Here is a 20,314-nt window from a genome sequence, read left to right on the forward strand (position 1 = left end):
AGAAGAAAATGACAGGAGCAGAAGGTCAAAGGGAAGCATCGAGAGAAAGAGGATGAATTGACACCTGTGGCTAATTGAAGTGAAATCAGGTGGGGGAAAAAAGCCTACTATAAGCCCACTTTATAACCTCATACCCGTCCCCTGCTTCGGGCTTGGCCCCTGCTTCGGGCTTTCCCCCTGCTGCAGGGGTGCAGGGCCCCCTCCTCGCTCTCATAACAGTTCCCTGTCTAAGATAACGCTGCTTTTCTCTGGGCTTTCCAGATCACAGAGGCCATGAGACCCACGTCCAGAGGGCCCTAGGAGGGAGCTGTGGGCTCAGCTGGTTGATTTACTCTGGCTTGGGTCGCTGCTACTGCTTTGAGGACAATAAGCTTGGCCATCACCAGACACCAGAGGATGCTGAAGGGACAGCCGGCTAGACTATTTCATGGACTCTCTGAGCATGTCCTATTGCAGTCCAGGTACAAACTTTTCCTCCAGAAATAGACAGAGGGATGCTGCTTCCCAATTTCAGCAAAGGCAGTGGAAAGATCCCGGTCAAAAGTAGAAACTCTGGGTCCAGGCCTTCCAGCTGACACTCACTCTGATATGGTTTGGCTGTGTTCCCACCCAAATCTCAACTTGAATTGTATCTCTCAGAATTCCCACGAGTTGTAGGAGGGATCCAGGTGGAGGTAATTGAATCATGGGGTGGGTCTTTCCCATGCTATTCTCGTGATAGTGAATAAGTCTCACCAGCTCTCATGGGTTTATTAGGGGTTTCCACTTTTGATTCTTCCTCATTTTCTCTTGCTGCCACCGTAAGAAGTGCCTTTCGCCTCCCGCCATGATTCTGAGGCCTCCCCAGCCATGTGGAACTGTAAGTCCAATTAAACCTCTTTCTTCCCAGTCTCAGGTATGTCTTTATCAGCAGCATGAAAACAGACGAATACAGTAAATTGGTGCCACTAGAGTGGGCACTGCTGGTAAGATACCTGAAAATGTGGAAGCGACTTTGGAACTGGGTAACAGGCAGAGGTTGGAAGAGTTTGGAGGGCTCAGAAGAAGACAGGAAAATGTGGGGAAGTTTGAAACTTCCTAGAGACTTGTTGAATGGCTTTCCCCCAAATGCTGATAGCGATATGGACAAGAAGGTCCAGGCTGAGGTGGTCTCAGATGGAGATGAGGAACTTGTTGGGAACTGGAGCAAACGTGACTCTTGTTATGTTTTAGCAGAGAGACTGGCAGCATTTTGCCCCTGCCCTAGAGATTTGTGGAACTTTGAACTTGAGAGGGATGATTTAGGGTATCTGATGGAAGAAATTTCTAAGCAGGAAAGCATTCAAGAGGTGACTTGGGTATTGTTAAAGGCATTCAGTTTTATCAGGGAAGCAGAGCATCAAAGTTTGGAAAATTTGACTATGAGATAGAAAAGAAAAACCCATTGTCTGGGGAGAAATTCAAGATGGCTACAGAAATTTGCAGAGGTAGCAGGGAGCCTAATGTTAATCCCCAAGACCATGGGAAAATGTCTCCAGGCCATGTCAGAGATCTTCACAGCAGCCCCTCCCATCACAGGCCTGGAGGCCCTGGAGAAAAAAGTGGTTTCATGGGCCGGGCCCAGGGCCCCTGTGCTGTGTGCAGCCTAGGGACTTGGTGCCCTGTGACCCAGCTGCTCCAGTCATGGCTAAAAGGGGCCAAGGTATGGCTCAGGCTGTGGCTTCAGAGGGTGGAAGCCCCGAGCCTTGACAATTTCCACCTGGTGTTGAGCCTGCAGGTGCACGGAGGCCAGGAATTTAGGTTTGGGAACCTCTGCCTAGATTTCAGAAGACGTATGGACATGCCTGGATGCCCAAGCAAACATGTTTTGCAGGGGTGGGACTCCCTTGTAGAACCTCTGCTAGGGCAATGCAGAAGGGAAATGTGGGGAGGGAGCCCCCACACAGAGTCCCTACTGGGGCACTGCCTAGTGGAGCTGTGAGAAGAGGGCCACTGTCCTCCAGACCTCAGAATGGTAGATCCACCGTCGGTTTGCACCGTGCACCTGGAAAAGCCACAGACACTCAATGCCAGCTCATGAAAGCAGCCAGGAGGGAGGGTGTACCCTGCAAAGCCACAGGGTGGAGCTGCCCATGACCATGGGAATCCACCTCTTGCATCAGCGAGACCTGGATGTGAGACCTGGAGTCAAAGGAGATCATTTTGGAGCTTTAAAATTTTACTGCCCCACTGGATTTCTGACTTGCATGGGGCCTGTAGCCCCTTTGTTTTGGCCAATTTTTCCCATTTGGAACAGCTGTATTTACAAAATACCTGTACCCCCATTGTATCTAGGAAGTAACTAGCCTGCTTTTGATTTTACAGGCTCATAGGTGGAAAGGACATGTTTTGTCTCAGATGAGACTTTGGACTGTGGACTTCTGGGTTAATGCTGAAATGAGTTAAGACTTTTTGGGAAGGCATGGTTGGTTTTCAAATGTTGAGGACATGAGATTTGGAGGGGCCAGGGGTGGAATGATATGGTTTGGCTGTGTCCCCACCCAAATACCAACTTGAATTGTATCTCCCAGAATTCCCATATGTTGTGGGAGGGTCCCAGGGGGAGGTAATTGAATCATGGGGGCATCTTTCCTGTGCTATTCCTATAATAGTGAATGAGTCTCATGAGATCTGATGGGTTTATCAGCGGTTTCCACTTTTGCTTCTTCCTCATTTTCTCTTGCCACCACCACGTAAGATGTGCCTTTCACCTCCCGCCATGATTCTGAGGCCTGCCCAGCCATGTGGAACGGTAAGTCCAATTAAACCTCTTTCTTTTCCCAGTCTTGGGTATATCTTTATCAGCAGCGTGAAAACAGACTAATACACACTCTTTGACATTTCTTAGCTGTGTGACCTTGGGTAAGTTTCTTACCCTCTCTGATATGGCTTAAATGTTTGTTCCCTCCAAATCTCATGCTGAAATGTGATCCCCAATGCTGGAAATGGGTGCTGGTGAGAGTTTGGGTCATGGGGGTAGATCCCTCATGATGACTTGGTGCCCTCCTCACAATAGTGAGTTCACGTTAAATCTGGTTGGTAAAGAGACTGGGACCCTTCCCCTCTCTCTTACTCCCTTTCTCATCATGTGTCTCTCCCTCTGTCTTGCTCGCTTTCTTGCCATGTGTTGTGTCTGCTCTTCCTTCACCTTTGGCAATGAGTCAAAGCTCCTGGAGGCCTCCCCAGAAGCTGAGTAGATGTTGGTGCCATGCTTGTACAGCCTGCAGAACTGTGAACCAAATAAACCTTTTTTCTTCATAAATTACCCAGCCTCAGGTATTTCTTTATAGCAATGCAAAAATGGACTAACACAGAAAATTGGTACTGAGGAGTGGGGCATTGCTATAAAGATACCTGAAGATGTGGAAGTGGCTATGGAACTGGGTGACAGGCAGACGTTGGAAGAGTTTGGAGAGCTCAAAAGAAGACAGGAAGATGAGGGAAAGTTTAGAACTTTTTAGAGACTGATAAGGTGGTTGTGACCAAAATGCTGATAGAAAAATGGACCATGAAGGCCAGGCTGATGAAGCCTCAGATGGATATGAGGACGTTATTGAGAACTGGAACAAAACTCGTGCATGTTATGATCTAGCAGAGAGCTCGGCTGCCTTATGTCCCTGCCCTAGGAATCTGTGGAAGGTTGAGCTTAAGACTGATGACCTAGGGTATGTGGTGGAGGAAATTTCTAAGCAGAAAAGCTTTCAATATGTGGCCTGGCTGCTTGTAGTAATCTGAATCAGATGTGGGAACAAAGGAATGTCCCTAAGTTGGAACGTACAATTAAAAAGGAAGCAAAGCACAAAGGTTTGAAAAACTTGCAGCCTGGCCAGGTGGTAGAGAAGAAAAACACTTTTTCAGGAGAGAAATGCAGGGGGCTGCAGAGAAACTACTTTCTAGAGAGATTTTCATAACGAAAAGGGAGCCAAGTGCTAATATTCAAGACAACAGGAAAAAGGTCTCGAAAGCTTTGGGACAGCCCCCCCCATCACAGGTTCAGAGGTTTGGGAGGAAAGCATGGTTTTGGGGGCCCGGCCTGGACCACCACTGCCCTTTGCCACCTTAGGCAGATGTTCCCCATATCCTCACTGCTTTTCTTCTAGCTGTGGCTCAAAGGTCCCCAGGTATAGCTTGGGCTGCCACTCTGGAGAGTGTAAGCCATAAGTGTCGACAGCTTCCACACGGTGTTAAGCCTGCCAGGTACATAGAGTGAAAGAGTTGAGGCTTGGGAGCCTCTGCCTAGATTTCAGAGGATGCATGAGAATGCCTGGGTGCTGCAGGGGTGGAGCCCCCACAGAAACGCTCTGCTAGGGCACTACAGAGGGGATATGTGGAGTGGCAACCCCCACATAGAGTCCCCACCAGGGAACTGCCTAGTGGAGCTGTGGGAACAGGACCACCGCCCTCCGGATTCCAGAATGGCAGAGCCACTGGCAGGTGGCAAGCTCAGCCTGGGAAAGCTACAGGCACCAGACTCCAACCCATAACAGCAGCCTCATGGGCTGTGTCAAGCAAAGCTGTCAGGGTGGGGATGCCCAAGGCCTTGGAGGCCCACCAGTTGCACCAGTGTGCTCTGGATGTGAGACATGCAGTCAATGACTGTTTTGGAGCTTTGAGGTTTAATGTCTGCCCTGCTGGGTTTCAGACTTGTATGGGGCCTGTTGCTCCTTTCTTTTGGCCAATTTCTCCTTCTTGGAATGGGAATGTTTACCCAATACCTATGCCACCACTGTATCTGGGAAGTAAGTAACTTGTTTTGGATCTTACAGCTCATAGGTCAGGGATGAACTTGCCTGGAGTCTCAGATGAGGATCTGGACTTGGATTGAGTTGATGCTGAATGAGTTAAGACTTCTGGGGACTGTTGGGAAAGGGGAATCATATTTTGCAACGTGAGAAGGATATGAGATTTGGGGGACCAGAGATGTAATGATATGGTTTGGATGTGTTGTCCCTCCAAATCTCCTGTTGAAATGTGATATCCAGTGTTGGGGATGGGGCCTGCTGGGAGGTGATTGGGTCATGGAGTGAATCCCTCAAGAACGGCTTGGTGCCGTCCTCACAGTAGTGAGTTCATGTGAGATCTGGTTGTTAGAGTCTGCGACCTTCCCTCTCTCTCATGCTCCCTTTCTCACCATGTGACACACTGGCTCCCCTTCTCCATGAGTGAAAGCTCCTGGAGGCCTCCCCAGAAGCTGAGCAGAGCAGGTGTCATGCGGAACCGTGAGCCAATTAAACCTATTTTCTTTATAAATTACCCAGCCGCAGGTACTTCTTTATAGCAATGCAAGATGGACTAACACACTGTCCCTACTGTCCCAACTGTAAAACTGGGATAGTGATGCTACCTGCTCCATAGGATTACTGTGAGGATTAAACAATAGAAATACAGCTCTTGACATAAGGCTGACACACCATGGGTGCTCAGAGACTTTGGATGATGAGTGTTTTCCATGGACGGTGCAGGAGGAGCTTGAATAGAAATGAACGACCAGAGCCAGAAGCCCCTGCTCTCCTCGCCAGCAGAGAACTTCATTGCTGACACTGAGTCCACAGGACCTGCATTCCCTGCGAGGCCCCAGCCTGCCCTCATTTCCCTAAGCTTCCCTGTTGGGCTCCGTGTGAAACCCTTTTACAAACAGTGGCTTCTCTGAGTGCTGCTGAGGAATGGACCCCAGGCTCTGTGAGGAGCTTTGCAGAGGGCTTGGGCTGCTTTCTGGGAGTCTTGGTTGTGCTCCTTTGTTGGGGTCATGGGACCCACCATTAAACACACTTAGGGCCTTCCATAAAGCTACATTTGTTCATTGGTAATGAAGGGTTCAAAAACTACCCTGAGATGCTCTTCCCGGGCCTTCCATGCTGGGTCGAACTTTCTTCATTTATCCAAGTGAGGCTTGCATCGTAAAGATGCAACTCTGCTCACAAAATAGACAAGAAGACGGGGCGCTCACCCAGGGATGCCGTGGCAATGTCTGCATGTGCAAAGGTGGCACAGACATCTGTGCCATGGGTGAGGGGTGGCCTGGGCAGGCATTGGCACTGCATCTGGAGTTTGTTCTGACTTTTTAAGCAATTCCTTGGAGGTCCTTGAATGCATGCTGTTCCTAAGCATCTGTCTGATAAGCTGGGCTCCACAGGAGTCCACATTATCTTCTTGGCTGTCAGTGAACCCAAGTTTGAATGAATTTCATTTTGGTCATGCTCTTCAGCAAAGAAATGCACGTTGAGTCCTATGGGGGATAAATGGGTGTGAGGGAAAGAGCCCTCCCAAGCCACCGTGGCCTTCTGTTTGGGAAAAGGCTGCGAGTGCAGGGAAGCCAGTGGACAAGGCCTAGGCTGGCGGAAGGCAGAGCTGGGATTAGGGCTATCTTCCTGATTCTGCCCTTGTGAGGCCTTGAGGGCTAAGCCAAGAGAAACTTCTCACCAGAGCTGGGCTGAGGTTTTCTGCGAGAAATGTAGCCACAAACATCTCTTATTTATGGTGATGTTAGACGCTTTCTTACGACTTTTATTAGAGCAGTGGGCACCTGCTGCCACCAAGCAGGAAGCCATGGGCTCTTGCTCCTGCGCTGGCCCCAGGCTGGGGAGAGCTGGAGGACAGCAGCTGTGGAGCAGGGTGGAGGGGACGGGGCGGCTGTGCTGATGGGACTCCAGGCACATTCTTCTGGCAGGTCCAAGGCTGTGGGGGTGGGGAGGAGACCCCTTCTTCCCTAGACACCCTCCCACCCACCCACCATGTGATCCCAGCAGCCATCCTTGGTGAGATCTCTGAGGGCAGGGTCCGCTCACAGGGGCAGCACAGCTTGCTGGCCTTGCCTCCACTCAGCTCTCAGCAGTGCCGACTGCTGCAGGACCTTCTGTAAAGATCACCAAGCTCCTCTCTTCCTAGCTGCCTGGGGTGGTAGGCGTCGGCATGGCAGCTTGGTGTGTTTGTGACCAAGGGAGCTCTCGCCCCCTCCTGGTCCCAGGGACCCTGGCCTGGGAGGAGGTGGCCTGGCAGCCTGGTCCCTTTGCCTGTCAGTGTTCAGATCGGATCCACCACAGCATGGGGTCTGGGGTTCTGACTTTTCTCTCCAAACAGCCTCACACATGCACTACAGTTTTCTGCCCCATTAGCCAGTGTTTAGAGTAAGGACTTTGTCCAACAAATCCTGAGCCCCTCTGGCTTCTGGAAAGATTAATCATCGTGCTGTCATGAGCCCTGCCAGGCCCCAGATGGATGGACAGGAGCCCCTTTTCCATGCATGTTCATGGCCTCCTCATCCTGCTGCTGTTCATGGACAGCCCAGAGCACTGTCCCAGGCACTTGAATGAGGGACAGCAGCACCTGGGCGGTCCTGCCGAGCTGCCGGGCTATTTCCTTTGGGGTCAGCCTGCAGAGTGAGTATTCACTGCCCCAGTTCAGGCAGCTCCAGGTCTCCCTAGTTCAGGCAATTTTATTATAATAACTTTGCAATTTATGAATTTCCACAATTTATACTTAATCATAAATTTATGAAACCATACTACATGTAATAATATGTAGTCACACATAATATTTGTTGATCAATACCCTAAACCTAAGTTAACTCTCTGCAAGGTACATTTCAACAACCTGCTGCTGAGTGGCTATCGAAAACAGGAAGACGATTTGCCAAACGATTCCTCTTAGTCCTGAAACCATCAGAGTTTTAGGACTGAAACTCTTGCATTGACTTGCATTTTAGGACTAAAACTCTTACATTTACCTTTAAGAGTGCACTGTTCTCATCAGGTTGAAACGACTTAGAGTGCCTTACTTATTTTAGAACATCATCCTCCTAGTTTTTCAGAGAAATATGACTAATTTTTATATGAATACTAATTTGTGGATTTGTAAGTGTTTAAAAAGCAATATGTATTGCTCTTTAACTCATTGTGGAAAGCAGTTAGGCAAATTCCAAAAGAACTTAGAACAGTATTACCATTTAACCCAGCAATCTTATTATTGGGTTTATACCCAACAGAATATAAATCCTTCTACCATAAGGGCACATGCAGGCATAAGTTCACTGCAGCACTATTCACAACAGCAAAGACATGGAATCAACCTAAATGCCCATCAGTGGTAGACTGGATAAAGAAAATGTGGTACCTATACACCACGGAATACTACGCAGCCATAAAAAAGAATGCAATCATGTCCTTTGCAGCAACATGGATGGAACTGGAGGCCATCATGCTCAGTGAACTAACAGAGGAACAGAAGATCAAATACCACGTTATCAATTATATGTGGGAGCTAGAAAGGAAGTACACATTTATGCAAAGAGGGAAGAACAGACACTGGGGCCTCCTGGAGGGTAGAGAGAGAGAAGAGGTTGAGGGTGGAAAAACTAACTATGTATTGGGTACTATGCTGATTACCTGGATGATGAAATAATCTGCACACTTAACCCCTGAGACACACAATTTACCTATATAACAAACCTGCACATGCACCCCTTAGCCTAAAATAAAAGTTAAAAAAATAAAAATAAAATACATGTAAACAGATATTTCAGTGTAAAAGACTTGGACTTCTATTGTAAAATTTATCTCTGTTTCTTTCCTTTAATTCTATTATTAATATAATTTTTAACTTAATTTTTAGATTGCTCGTTGCTAGTATATAAAACTACAATTAAGTTTTATATGCTGTTCTTGTATCTTGTGGCCTCATTGAACTTATCTATTAGTTCTAGTAGATTTTTAGTGAATACTTTACAAAGATAAAGGATTATTTAATCTGCAATAAGATACACTTTACTTCTTAAAAAAAGCAATATATACCTTTTTTCTATTAAAAATATGTTCCCTAACGTTGAAACTACGCTAGTGAGCAATTGCTCACTAAGCTGATGGGCAGGGTCAGCGAAGGTCAAAGCTCTGGCTGGGTCCCCTACACTGGGTCTGCCCCTGTCTTCCTGGTATGTAGGAGATGGGGACAGAATTTGTGCTTTTAGTTTGTCTGGGTCAGAAGGAGCTGCACTGAGGATGCCCCTTCCATTCAGATAGGATGCAGATCACAGTATCATGGGCTGCCAGCCCGATGCTGTGATTGATGAAATTTGGGGGCCAGGGGGATCTCCCTGTGTCTCACACCAGGCCAGGACGAGACTGTGGTTGTTGCATCAGTGGTCCCCAGCGAACCACACCTCCAGGATCCAGGCCCTCCTGATCCTCTCTCTCGGAATCTGGGTTTGGCAGGTGCCTCACTTTGGATAGAGGGTCATCAGTGAACAGAACACAGGGAGAGGCTGGCTGGGCCCTGCACTCTGGACCTTGACCTCTGAGAGTGCCCTGGGCTGCCGTGCAGGGCCTAGGCTGCCTCCAGGGTCCGGCCACCCCCGGAGCCTGACTAATGTCGTCCTACCTGACCATGTGAGGCAGCCTGAGAGAGGCCAGCAGAAGAGTGGCCCAGACAACTCCCTGAATCATATGGGAGAAACGTGCTTTGCTTTGATCCAAGTTCAAAGTTCTGGGGTGGTTGTTGATGCAGGAATAGATAACGGAAGTGACCAACATCAGAACTGAGTGTGTTTCAGTAAGATCTGCTGAATTCAGGGTTCAATGGCATTTTATGGCCACTAGATAGGATAAATGCATTGAAAAATCTGAATAACATTGCAACAGTCCTCTGAATGTGACTGAATAAAGTTCATATTGGCTGGTTTTTATATAGCCTTGACTACAAATCATAATAGGCAAAGAAAATTATGACTGCCATGTCAGTGTTTTGGGAGTGGCTGAGTCAGTCTTTTCATCTTCAGCCGCTGGAGCTGGAAGAATTCTGCAGGCTTTGCTGCATCAGGAAGGCAAAGACCTGTCACAGCAGGATCTGATTTGTAGCCAATGGACGAGCAAGCCTTTGTCCACATCATGTATTCATAGATTGTCGATAACAACATTGTTTTAAAGATGATGATTTTTTTTTCTGTTTCTTTCCCTGAAAACAATGTTAATTAAAACCAGAAGTATTAAAAATATCTATTTGTTATATATTTCAATCTGCTACCAAGCTGAGGGATGAGATGAAAACTCTTCAGTTTTTGGCAATTTTTAAGGCTTAGAGATTATGGTTTGATATAGTTTGGTTCTGTGTCTCCACTCAAATCTCATCTTGAATTGTAATCCCCACAATGTGTCAAGGAAGAGCCTAGTGGGACCTGATTGGATCATGGGGGTGGTTTCCTTCATGCTGTCCTTGTGATAATGGGGGAGTTCTCAGGAGATCTGATGGTTTTAAAAGTGGCACTTGCCCCTTCTCTGTCTCTCTTTCTCCTGTCGCCTTGTGAAGAAGGTGCTGGGCGTGGTGGCTCACACTTGTAATCTCAGCACTTTGGGAGGCCAAGGCAGATGGATCACCTGAGGTCAGGAGTTCGAGACCAGCCTGGCCAACATGGTGAAACCTCGTTTCTACTCAAAATATAAATAATTAGCCAGGCACGGTGGTGCACGCCTGTAGTCCCAACTAGTTGGGAGGCTGAGGCAGGAGAATCTCTTGAACCCAGGAGACAGAGGTTGCAGTGAGCCAAGACTGTACCTTTGCACTCCAGCCTGGGCAACAGAGCTAGACTCCGTCTCAAAAAAAAAAAAAAAAAAAAAAAAAAAAGAAGATGGCTTCTTCCCCCCTTTGCCTTCTGTCATGATTCTAAGTTTCCCAAGGCCTCCCAATCCATGTGGAACTGTGGGTCAATTAAAACTCTTTTGTTTATAAATTACCCAGTCTCTTTATAGCAGTGTGAGAACTAATACATGGTCCATCAGCTTCTATCCTTGTAATTGATACAAAAATTATACAGTTAAGCTGCTAATTTATTTGCATTTTTTAAACTCCAACCCGATTAATTCAACTGAAACAAAAGTCCATTGTAAAAAGCCCACTGAAGATGAGAAGTAAATTAATTGTCAGGAACTTTAAATCATAAGCATTTTTTTCTGAGTTATTAATTATAAAATGCTAACACAAGGGTGATAAATCCAGGGTTCTGGGATGCTGAGTGAGGCAGCTGTAATCTGTGTGACAGAAACCTAAGAGGAGGACCCGCACAGGGACAGATGGCACCCTGAGAACTGCTGAGGGGCCTCCTGGAGTCTTTGGCTGAGGTCTGACCTGCATGTGAGTGTGAGGAAACAATTACACTCTGGAGAATGAGGCTGGAGAAAAACCATCACCAAAAGCACTCGTTCAGAAAAATTCCTAAAATTTACACAGGACCAGCAAAAGTTTGTGTTCCTGAAAGCCACTGGAAAGTTCTCTTAATGAAAGGGACATTGGATAGAGCCCTTAGAAGGGTGTTCCCCCAGCAAGGGGGAAAAATTAGCCTTATGCTAATGGCTCTTCTAGACCAACCCTAAGAAAGCATTAAAGCAAAGCTCAAAGAATAAAACTGATGCTAGATACCTCCACCTAAGAGGAAAAAAAAAAGGAACTCTAAACCTAAACCATTAAAAAATGTAATTAAAATAATTTTAGAAAATCAAACACTAACAATGTAAAAGTCCCATGCCTGGAGTTTAATTACAAAATGCTAAATATGTGAAAGAACAGAAAAATATATTAAAATAGCTGTAACTAAGAGATAAATCAGTAAATAGAAACAGACTGAGAAATGACAGAGATGATGGACATAAAGGACCTTAAAATAACAATAATAAATATGCCACCAATGTTTGCAAAATCAGGGGAAAACATGAGGAAACTAGTTCCAGAAGCTAGAGGAAAACATATAACATATATGTCACCTTATTAAGTGAGATACGTAAGTTACAAAAGAAGTTTCAAGTATACCATCTAGAAATAAAAATTACAATACCTGAAATAAAATACATAGAACGGGGCTAATGGCAGAGTCGTAACAAGTATTCTTAGCAGAAGGAAAGGTTAGTGAACTTTAAAACAGCAGGAGAAAGTATTTTTACTGGGAAAGGATGAAAGGAGCCTCAGTGAACTGTGGGAAAATATTTCATAGCTTAAAATGCATGCAAGATTGTAAGATTGTGGGAGGATCACAAAACACTTAAAAATTATGGCTGCAAATTTTCCAAATAGGAGAAAATATAAACCCACAGATGACAGAAGCTCAGTAAACATCAAACAAAATAAACTACACTTAGTCACATTATAACCAGATTGCTGAACAAGTGACGAAGAGTTCATTTTTAAAGCAGCCAGATGAAAGAGATGCATTATGTACAGAAAATCCATGGTAAAAATGACAGCCACAAAACACACAAGCCAGAAGACAGTGGGACAGTTCTTTCCAGTTTTGAAAGAAAAATAAATTGTCAGCTTAGAATTTTAAAGCAAAGTTTATGTCAAAAATGAAGGTGATACATTGCAGATGTGTAAAACAACATCACAAAACTGTTAGGGAGAAAAAAAAGGCTGACCTAAGTAACTTTGGAAATGAGTCATGTCTATAAGGCTAAATGCAAAATAAACTGTACATAAGCACTGTCCTCTAGTTGATAAAGTTTGCTCCAAGAGGGTTACAAGTCAACAATTCTGATGCTGCTACCCATGTATGCAAGAATTTAACAATCCAGCAAATGGATGGCAGATGATCAGAGCCAGGTTTCTTACTGTTGGAGTGGGAGTTTACGAATAGGCAAGGGAGGAATAGGCTGGAATAGATGACCATGTGGCATCTGTTAGAGTTATAGACATCAGTATAAACTCATGTTTAGATTGGCATAAATATGGTTATGTATAGCGATATTTACAGTTATGGGACTATAAATGGGTTAGTATCTGCATGAATATTTCCCTTCTCTGTCAGGTGAGAGGGGCCTGGAGCAATGGTAACCCAGTGGCAAGGAACATGCCTAAGCCCGGATCTTTATTTATAACACCATTCTCCAGTAAAAGGAACCAGGGCTTCTTAGAGAAATGGCTGATTGGAGAGCTGGGGCACAAAATATACAGGATGAGCCTGGAGCATCTTCTAATGCCAGAAAGTAAAAAAGTGCTCAAAACAAACAAACCAAAAACCACCCACAATGATGGTTGTAAGTCAGAAGGACACGGGAACCAACTGCAAGAGCTCCCGAAAACCACCCACAATGATGGTAGTATGTCAGAAGGACACAGGAACCAACTGTAAGAGCTCCCGAAGACCACCCACAATGATGGTTGTATGTCAAAAGAACACAGGAACCAACTGCAAGAGCTCCCGAAGACCACCCACAATGATGGTTGTATGTCAGAAGGACACAGGAACCAACTGCAAGAGCTCCCAAAGACCACCCACAATGATGGTTGTATGTCAGAAGGACACAGGAACCAACTGCAAGAGCTCCCAAAAACCACCCACAATGATGGTGGTATGTCAGAAGGACACAGGAACCAACTGCAAGAGCTCCCAAAGACCACCCACAATGATGGTTGTGTGTCAAAAGGACACAGGAACCAACTGCAAGAGCTCCCGAAAACCACCCACAATGATGATAGTATGTCAGAAGGACACAGGAACCAACTGTAAGAGCTCCCGAAGACCACCCACAATGATGGTTGTATGTCAAAAGAACACAGGAACCAACTGCAAGAGCTCCCGAAGACCACCCACAATGATGGTTGTATGTCAGAAGGACACAGGAACCAACTGCAAGAGCTCCCAAAGACCACCCACAATGATGGTTGTATGTCAGAAGAACACAGGAACCAACTGCAAGAGCTCCCAAAAACCACCCACAATGATGGTGGTATGTCAGAAGGACACAGGAACCAACTGCAAGAGCTCCCGAAGACCACCCACAATGATGGTGGTATGTTGAAAGGACACAGGAACCAACTGCAAGAGCTCCCAAAGACCACCCACAATGATGGTTGTGTGTCAAAAGGACACAGGAACCAACTGTAAGAGCTCCTGAAGACCACCCACAATGATGGTTTTATGTCAGAAGGATACAGGAACCAGCTGCAAGGGCTCCTGAAGACTAAAGAGCAAAATGAAGAACAGGGTGTTCATTCTGAGAGCAAGGAAACAAATTCGATTGTAACCCAAAGGAGCAGTCATCACTCGCATCCTTGCACATCCACTGATCCTGATTCTTCTTCCTACTCAAGGGCAACTCTCAACGTATCCAGCGTTTCCTCTCTACTCTCTCTCGTTCTCTGTGTGTGTGTACCTCACCTCTGCTACTCTATCCTCCAATTTCTAGCTTGTGAAACTCTCATCTCCACATTCTCAGTCCATACTGATATCAGTAAATGACTGGATCAATAAGTAAATAGGGGAAAAGAGGCAAACCTCCCTTTCAGAATTCAAATAACTAACATAGCTACTTTCCCTTCATGGAGGTGAAGTGTAACTCCTGCATCCTTCCATGTGAGCTGCGCATAGTGACCTCCTTCCAAAGACTATGGCATGAAAAGGGGAAAAAAAGATGAATTTTGGCTGGGCGCTGTGGCTCACGCCTGTAATCCCAGCACTTTAGGAGGCCGAGGTGGGCAGATCATGAGGTCAGGAGCTTGAGACCATCCTGGCTAACACGGTGAAACCTCATCTCCATTAAAAATACGAAAAACTAGCCGGGTGTAGTGGCTCACGTCTGTAGTCCTAGCTACTTGGGAGGCTGAGGCAGGAGAATCGCAGTGAGCTGAGATCTTGCCACTGCACTCCAGCCTGGGCAACAGAGGGAGACTCTGTCTCAAAAATAATAATAATAATAATAATAATAAATAAATAAATAAATAAATAAATAAATAAATAAGATGAATTTTATAACAGAGAATCCTGACAAGCACCACCTCAGCCAGGTGAGGGAGGTCAACTTGAACAGTGACAAGTCACCAGGAGAGTATGGATGCTGGAGATGGCGTGATGGAAATGGCAACTTACCTCTGTGGACGTCCCTTCAAAAACACATAACCCAGTTTAATTATGAAAACAAAATAAAATGCCTGACCAGTGCTCCCCAAAACCATCAAGGTCATCAAAAACAAGTAGAGTTAGGGAAATTTTCACAGCCAAGAGAAGCCCAAGGAGACATAATAAGTAAATGTAATATGATATCCTGAATAGGAGCCTGAAACAGCTGAAAGAGGTGAGGTAAAAACCAAGGAAATCTAAGTAAAGTGTGGACTTTCGTTAATGATAATATTCATCAATATTGTTTTATTAGTTATAACAAATGTGCCATACCAAACTAAGATGTTACTAATATGAGAAGCCTGTGTGAGGTATATTAGAATTCTCTACACTATCTTCATAATGTTTTCTGTCTGAATTTGTCCTCAGAGAAAATATTTGTTTTTTTAAAAATGAAGGAGATTTTAACTTCCTGACAAACAGAAATAACATGGACTAGATAGACTTTTTCTTACACTTTAGAAAAAAACAAAGCAGACAAAACATATAAAATAGAAGTTTCAACAAACATCAAGCAATGAAGACCATGGATGCTGACAGATGGGAGACAAAGGTGGTGAGCCCTGTAGGGGCTTGAGCGGCTCCTTGGAGGGCATTCCCACAGTGCGGTGCAGGGAGGGGTACCCTGGCAGAGGTGAAGATGAGGGTTTAGCAACTAGAAATAGGAGGACAGAGTAGCAGAGATGAGGTACACACATAAAGAGAGAGAGAGGGAGAGAGAAGAGAGGAAACATCCAGGAGATACCGAATCACCGCTGAGTAGGAAGGTGATAATGATGAATGAATGTGTAAGAACACGAGTGAAGGCTGGGGAAAGAACCACCCAGAGGGTGGAGGAACGATTCTTAGAGTTCGCACAGTGCCTGTTCCCTGAGCCAGAGAGAAAAACCTTCTTCACAGGACACTGAGTAGGGTCCTCAGTGTGGTGTACTCACACCTGTAGCAGGAAATAGACTAAGCACTGCTCCAATCCTGCCTAACAAATCTCAAAAGAAGACCCAAAAGGATACAACGTTTAAATAAATTTAATGTGGTCTCAGAACAATGTCCAGGAGTATTTATAGCAGCAATACAGAAATATTCAGCATCCAACAAGCTAAAACTCACAGTATCTGACATCTAATAAAAAAATGACCAGGCATGCAAAGAAGCAGAAAAATATAACTCAGGAGAAGGGTTAATTATTTGAAACCAACACAGAACAGACTCAGAGTTAGAATTAGCAGATGAGGATATCAAGCAGTTATAACTGGATTCCTTTTGTTCAAAAAGTCAAGTAGAAATATAGATGATATAAAGAAAGACCCACATAAATCTTCCAGACTTGAAAGATACAATTTCTAAGATGAAAAATATATGGAGATGGGATCAACAACAGACTAGACATTTCAGAAGAAAAGATTAGTGAGTTTGAAGATAGTAATTTAAGCTAGATGAATTAAAACAAAGTCAATTAAAAAGACAATAGTGAACAGAGCACCTGTGAATTCTGGAACAAATTCAAGTAGCCAAATATACATGTAATTGAAATTCATGAAGAAGAAAGGAACTGGGGCCAGAAAAAGTATTTAAGAAATTATCCACCAAAATTTCCATTTGTAAAGAAAATTATAAACATACAGTTCTAAGAAGATCAACAGACACCAATCACAAGAAACATGAGAACTACAAGGCACATCAAAATCAAAATGCTCAATAGTAGTGATAAAGAGAAAATTTTAAAAGCAGCCAATAACAACAAAAATATACATTTTGTAGAAAGAAATCAAGATAAGGATGACTGCAAGTTTCTCATTGGAAACAATGCAAGCGAGAAGATAGTGAAACAACATATTTGAAGTTCTGGAAAAAGAATAAATCAATCTAGAATTCTATATCAAACAATTATATCTTTCAAAAACAAAGGTGAGGCTGCGCACGGTGGCTCACGCCTGTAATCCCAGACCCTTGGAAGGCCAAGGTAGGGGGTCACTTGAGCTCAGTAGTTCGAGACCAGCACGAGCAACATAGAGAGACTTCATCTCTACCCAAAATCAACAAAAAGCCAACCAGACAAACAAAAACCCAAAGATGGAATACAATTTCAGACATACAAAAGTTGAAAATATTCACCACCATCAGACTTAAAATGCAAAAAATGTTAAGGTAATTCTTCAGACAGTAGAAAGTGATACTGGATGGCAACATGAATGGGATGAAGTGTGCTGGGAATGGTAACTATATGGATAAGTATGTAAGCTCTTTTCCTATTATTTAAATCTTTTAGAAGAATGATTGGCTATGTAAGCCAAAATAACGACAAGTATGGGTTTATTACTCTTATATATATGAGTAAAATGTATGAAAACAATTGAACAAAGTTTAGAAGGTGAGAAGTGAAAGGATATTATCATAAGATTTGTATATTATACATTAAGTGGCATAACATCACTTCAGGGTAGACTGAATAAGGTAAACTCTATACTACAAATTCTAATGACCAAAACAACAATAGCAACAAAATATTAAAAGCAATAAATAACAAGAAAACCAAGGAGGAAAAAATGAATCAATAAACAATTAATCCAAAAAAGGCAAAAGAGAACACAAAACAAATGAAATAGAGGAAAAATTAAAATGAAGAGAGTCTCTAAAAAGTTCATGAAAAATATGTACTATAAAAGAACTATGCATGGATTTCAATTTTTTTTTGCACCAAAATAACCTTGTGCTAACTTGTCGTCACATGTCTGAACAGGATCTAGTCTGAGGCACTAAGAAGGGTAAGAGATCAGTTTGAAAAGAACCCCTATCAGAGCAACATGATTTCTGCTAAAGTTCTGTTCTTGAACCAAGAGCAAACATCAAATTTATGGTGAAGTTTGGATGGGAGAATGGTGAAATCATTGCTGCTTTACAAAAAAATTATGGAGAAAAAGCCTCAAAGAAATCAGCAGCTTACAAATGAATTAATTCATCTTAAGAAAAAATGAGGTGATGTTGAAGATGAAGTCTGCAGTGGCAGACCATCCACATTAATTTGTGAGGAAAAATATTATCTTGTTTGTGCCTTAACTGAAGGAGACCAACAATTAACAACACAAATAATAGCCAACACTATCACCATCTCAGTTGGGTTGGTTTACACAATTCTGACCAAAAAATTAAAGTGAGCAAACTTTCTACTTAATGGGTGCCAAAATCGTTGTGCCTAGATCAGTTGCAGACAAGAACAGGACTTTCAGTGGAAATCTCAAACAAGTGAGATCAAGATGCTGAGGCACTTCTTTGAAGAATTAGAATAGGAGACGAGCCATGGCTTTACCAGTACCATCCTGAAGACAAAGCACAATCAGAGCAATGGCCACCAAGAGGAGGAAGCAGTCCAGTCAAAAGAGGACCAGTCAAAAGAGCACAGGCCATGGCAACAGTTTTTTGGAATGCTTGAGGCATTTTGCTTTCTGACTTTCTGGAGGGCCAAAGAATGGACATCTGTTTATTGTGAGAGTTTTGAGAAAGTTAGCTAAAGCTTTAGCAGGAAAACGCCTGTGACAATTTCACCAGACAGTCTTTCTTCACCACAACAATGCTCTTGCTCATTCTTCTCAACAAACTGTTAATGGCTGTTGTAATACCTCAGTTCTTCTTAGTTTAAAAGAATTTAAACGAGAGACACACAGCAAAGGAGGTGCAACATAGAGTAATTTATTGCAAAGGAGAAGGAATATTTTGAAAGTTAAGTGCAGAATAGACAGTACCCCCTGAGAGAGAGAGAGAGAATTCAGGGAGGGTGGCTCATAAGGGTGAGACAGCAAAGACTGGCACTAGAGAGATTCCCTTTATGGGAGTTTTACGTGATTATTCCTAAGGAGGTGGGAAGAGGCGTTAATAGCAAGCATGTTCTGGGTGGTCCTCTGGGTGCACATGTGCAGTAGCTGTCCATGTTTGTTCATACGTCACATGCCTCATTAACATCTTAAATCTCCACCCAGGGGCCCATTCTTTACTATTATAATGAGCCAAGGGTCAATTTGAGGACAGGTAAAGTCAAAGTGTGCATGCTTTCTAGAGAGGAAGTTCCCTGCTGAAGACTGCTTTGTTTGAATGAGCTAAATAACGTGAATGCTGAGGTTTATTGTGTTGAATGGTCACCACAGTTGCTGCATCCTGAGGACATGGTCATTTCCTTGACTACCTATCCTTCCTCAAAACCAGGGCAATTTTGTGAGGGTTTTAATGGTAAATATCATTAGGTATTTGCTTTACAGCTTTGATTTGCCTCCTTTAGAGTTTTCCTTTTTTTTTCTTTCCTAATCTTAAAAACATTTAAAGATCACCTATTTGTCTTCAGTTAACAATGTTCGAAAGACTAGATTGACATGGTTAAATTCCTAGAACCCTCAGTTCTTTCGAAATGAATTAAATAGCTGATGTCATCACTTATAAAAATGTCTTAGACTTAATGTTCATTTTCAGAAATGAACATATTTGTATTTTTACTTGTATCTTTTAATTATACTTTTTCACTAACATTTTGAAGTTCCCTCACAGCAAGCTGATGGATTTGAACCTAATTATATTAATAATCACATTAAATGTAAGTGGTCTAAATACTCTAATTAAAATGCAATCATTGTATGATTGGATTAATCCAATCAGTTTTCTTGGTCAAATTTTTCTTAATTCAATTATTTTTCTTAATGCAATGATTGGATTAAGAAAAGTAAGAACCAGGCAGGCGTGGTGGCTCATGCCTGTAATTCCAGCATTTTGGGAGGCTGAGGCAGGTGGATCACTTGAGCTCAGGAGTTTGAGACCAGCCTGTGCAACACAGCAAAAACCCATCTCAACAAAAAATAAAAAAATTAAGACTAGTGGTGTACACCTCTAGTGTCAGCTACTTGGGAGGCTGAGGTGAGAGGATTGCTTGAGCCCAGAAGGTGGAGGTTGCAGTAAGCCTAAGCTGAGATCACGTCACTCTACTCCAGCAGGGTCAACAGAGCAAGACCCCATCTCAAAAAAAAAAAAAAAAAAAAAAAAAGACCCAAATAGATCCTCTCTATAAGAAACTACTTTAAATATAAAGGCACAAGTGAGCTAAAAGTTAAAAGTTATACCTTTAACATATATAAGAGATATAGCAAAATAACAGTTTAAAAATTTAACAATGCTATAGTGGCTATAGTACACCAGATAGACTTCAGAACCAAGGACATTACTACTTCATAAAGATAGAAGCATCAATTTATCAACGGATGAAACAATATTAAACATGTACATATAATAACAATGCTTCAAAATAGATGAAGCAGAGCTAATAGAACTATAAGAATCAATAGACAAAACCACAAAAATAGTTAAGGTTTCAATGACTCTCTCTATATGATTGATAGTAAAAGAAGATAGATACTGTCATTTAAATAACCTAATTTACATTTATAGAGCACT

General features: G+C 43.3%; 1 long non-coding RNA gene across 1 annotated transcript in view, besides 2 other annotated features; it reads left to right on the forward strand.

Moving 5' to 3' along the window:
* LOC105374618 (uncharacterized) overlaps nucleotides 1–20,314 on the forward strand; it is a 188,354-nt gene that overhangs the window by 137,850 nt on the left and 30,190 nt on the right. Inside the window, exons 5-7 of the long non-coding RNA NR_171679.1 lie at nucleotides 1–89; nucleotides 262–461; nucleotides 2,717–2,770. This is a non-coding gene — a long non-coding RNA (uncharacterized LOC105374618). The remainder of the gene's footprint in view (nucleotides 90–261; nucleotides 462–2,716; nucleotides 2,771–20,314) is intronic.
* Nucleotides 6,642–7,142: an enhancer, noted in NCBI's record as "H3K4me1 hESC enhancer chr5:2075638-2076138 (GRCh37/hg19 assembly coordinates)". NCBI's record gives its function as "activates a minimal SCP1, AML or CMV promoter by ChIP-STARR-seq in primed H9 embryonic stem cells {active_cell/tissue: H9 hESC(primed)}" and the evidence as "EXISTENCE:reporter gene assay evidence [ECO:0000049][PMID:30033119]".
* Nucleotides 8,793–9,294: an enhancer, noted in NCBI's record as "H3K4me1 hESC enhancer chr5:2077789-2078290 (GRCh37/hg19 assembly coordinates)". NCBI's record gives its function as "activates a minimal SCP1, AML or CMV promoter by ChIP-STARR-seq in primed H9 embryonic stem cells {active_cell/tissue: H9 hESC(primed)}" and the evidence as "EXISTENCE:reporter gene assay evidence [ECO:0000049][PMID:30033119]".

The sequence above is a fragment of the Homo sapiens genome, chromosome 5, assembly GCF_000001405.40.
Source record: "Homo sapiens chromosome 5, GRCh38.p14 Primary Assembly".
Lineage (NCBI taxonomy): Eukaryota > Metazoa > Chordata > Mammalia > Primates > Hominidae > Homo > Homo sapiens.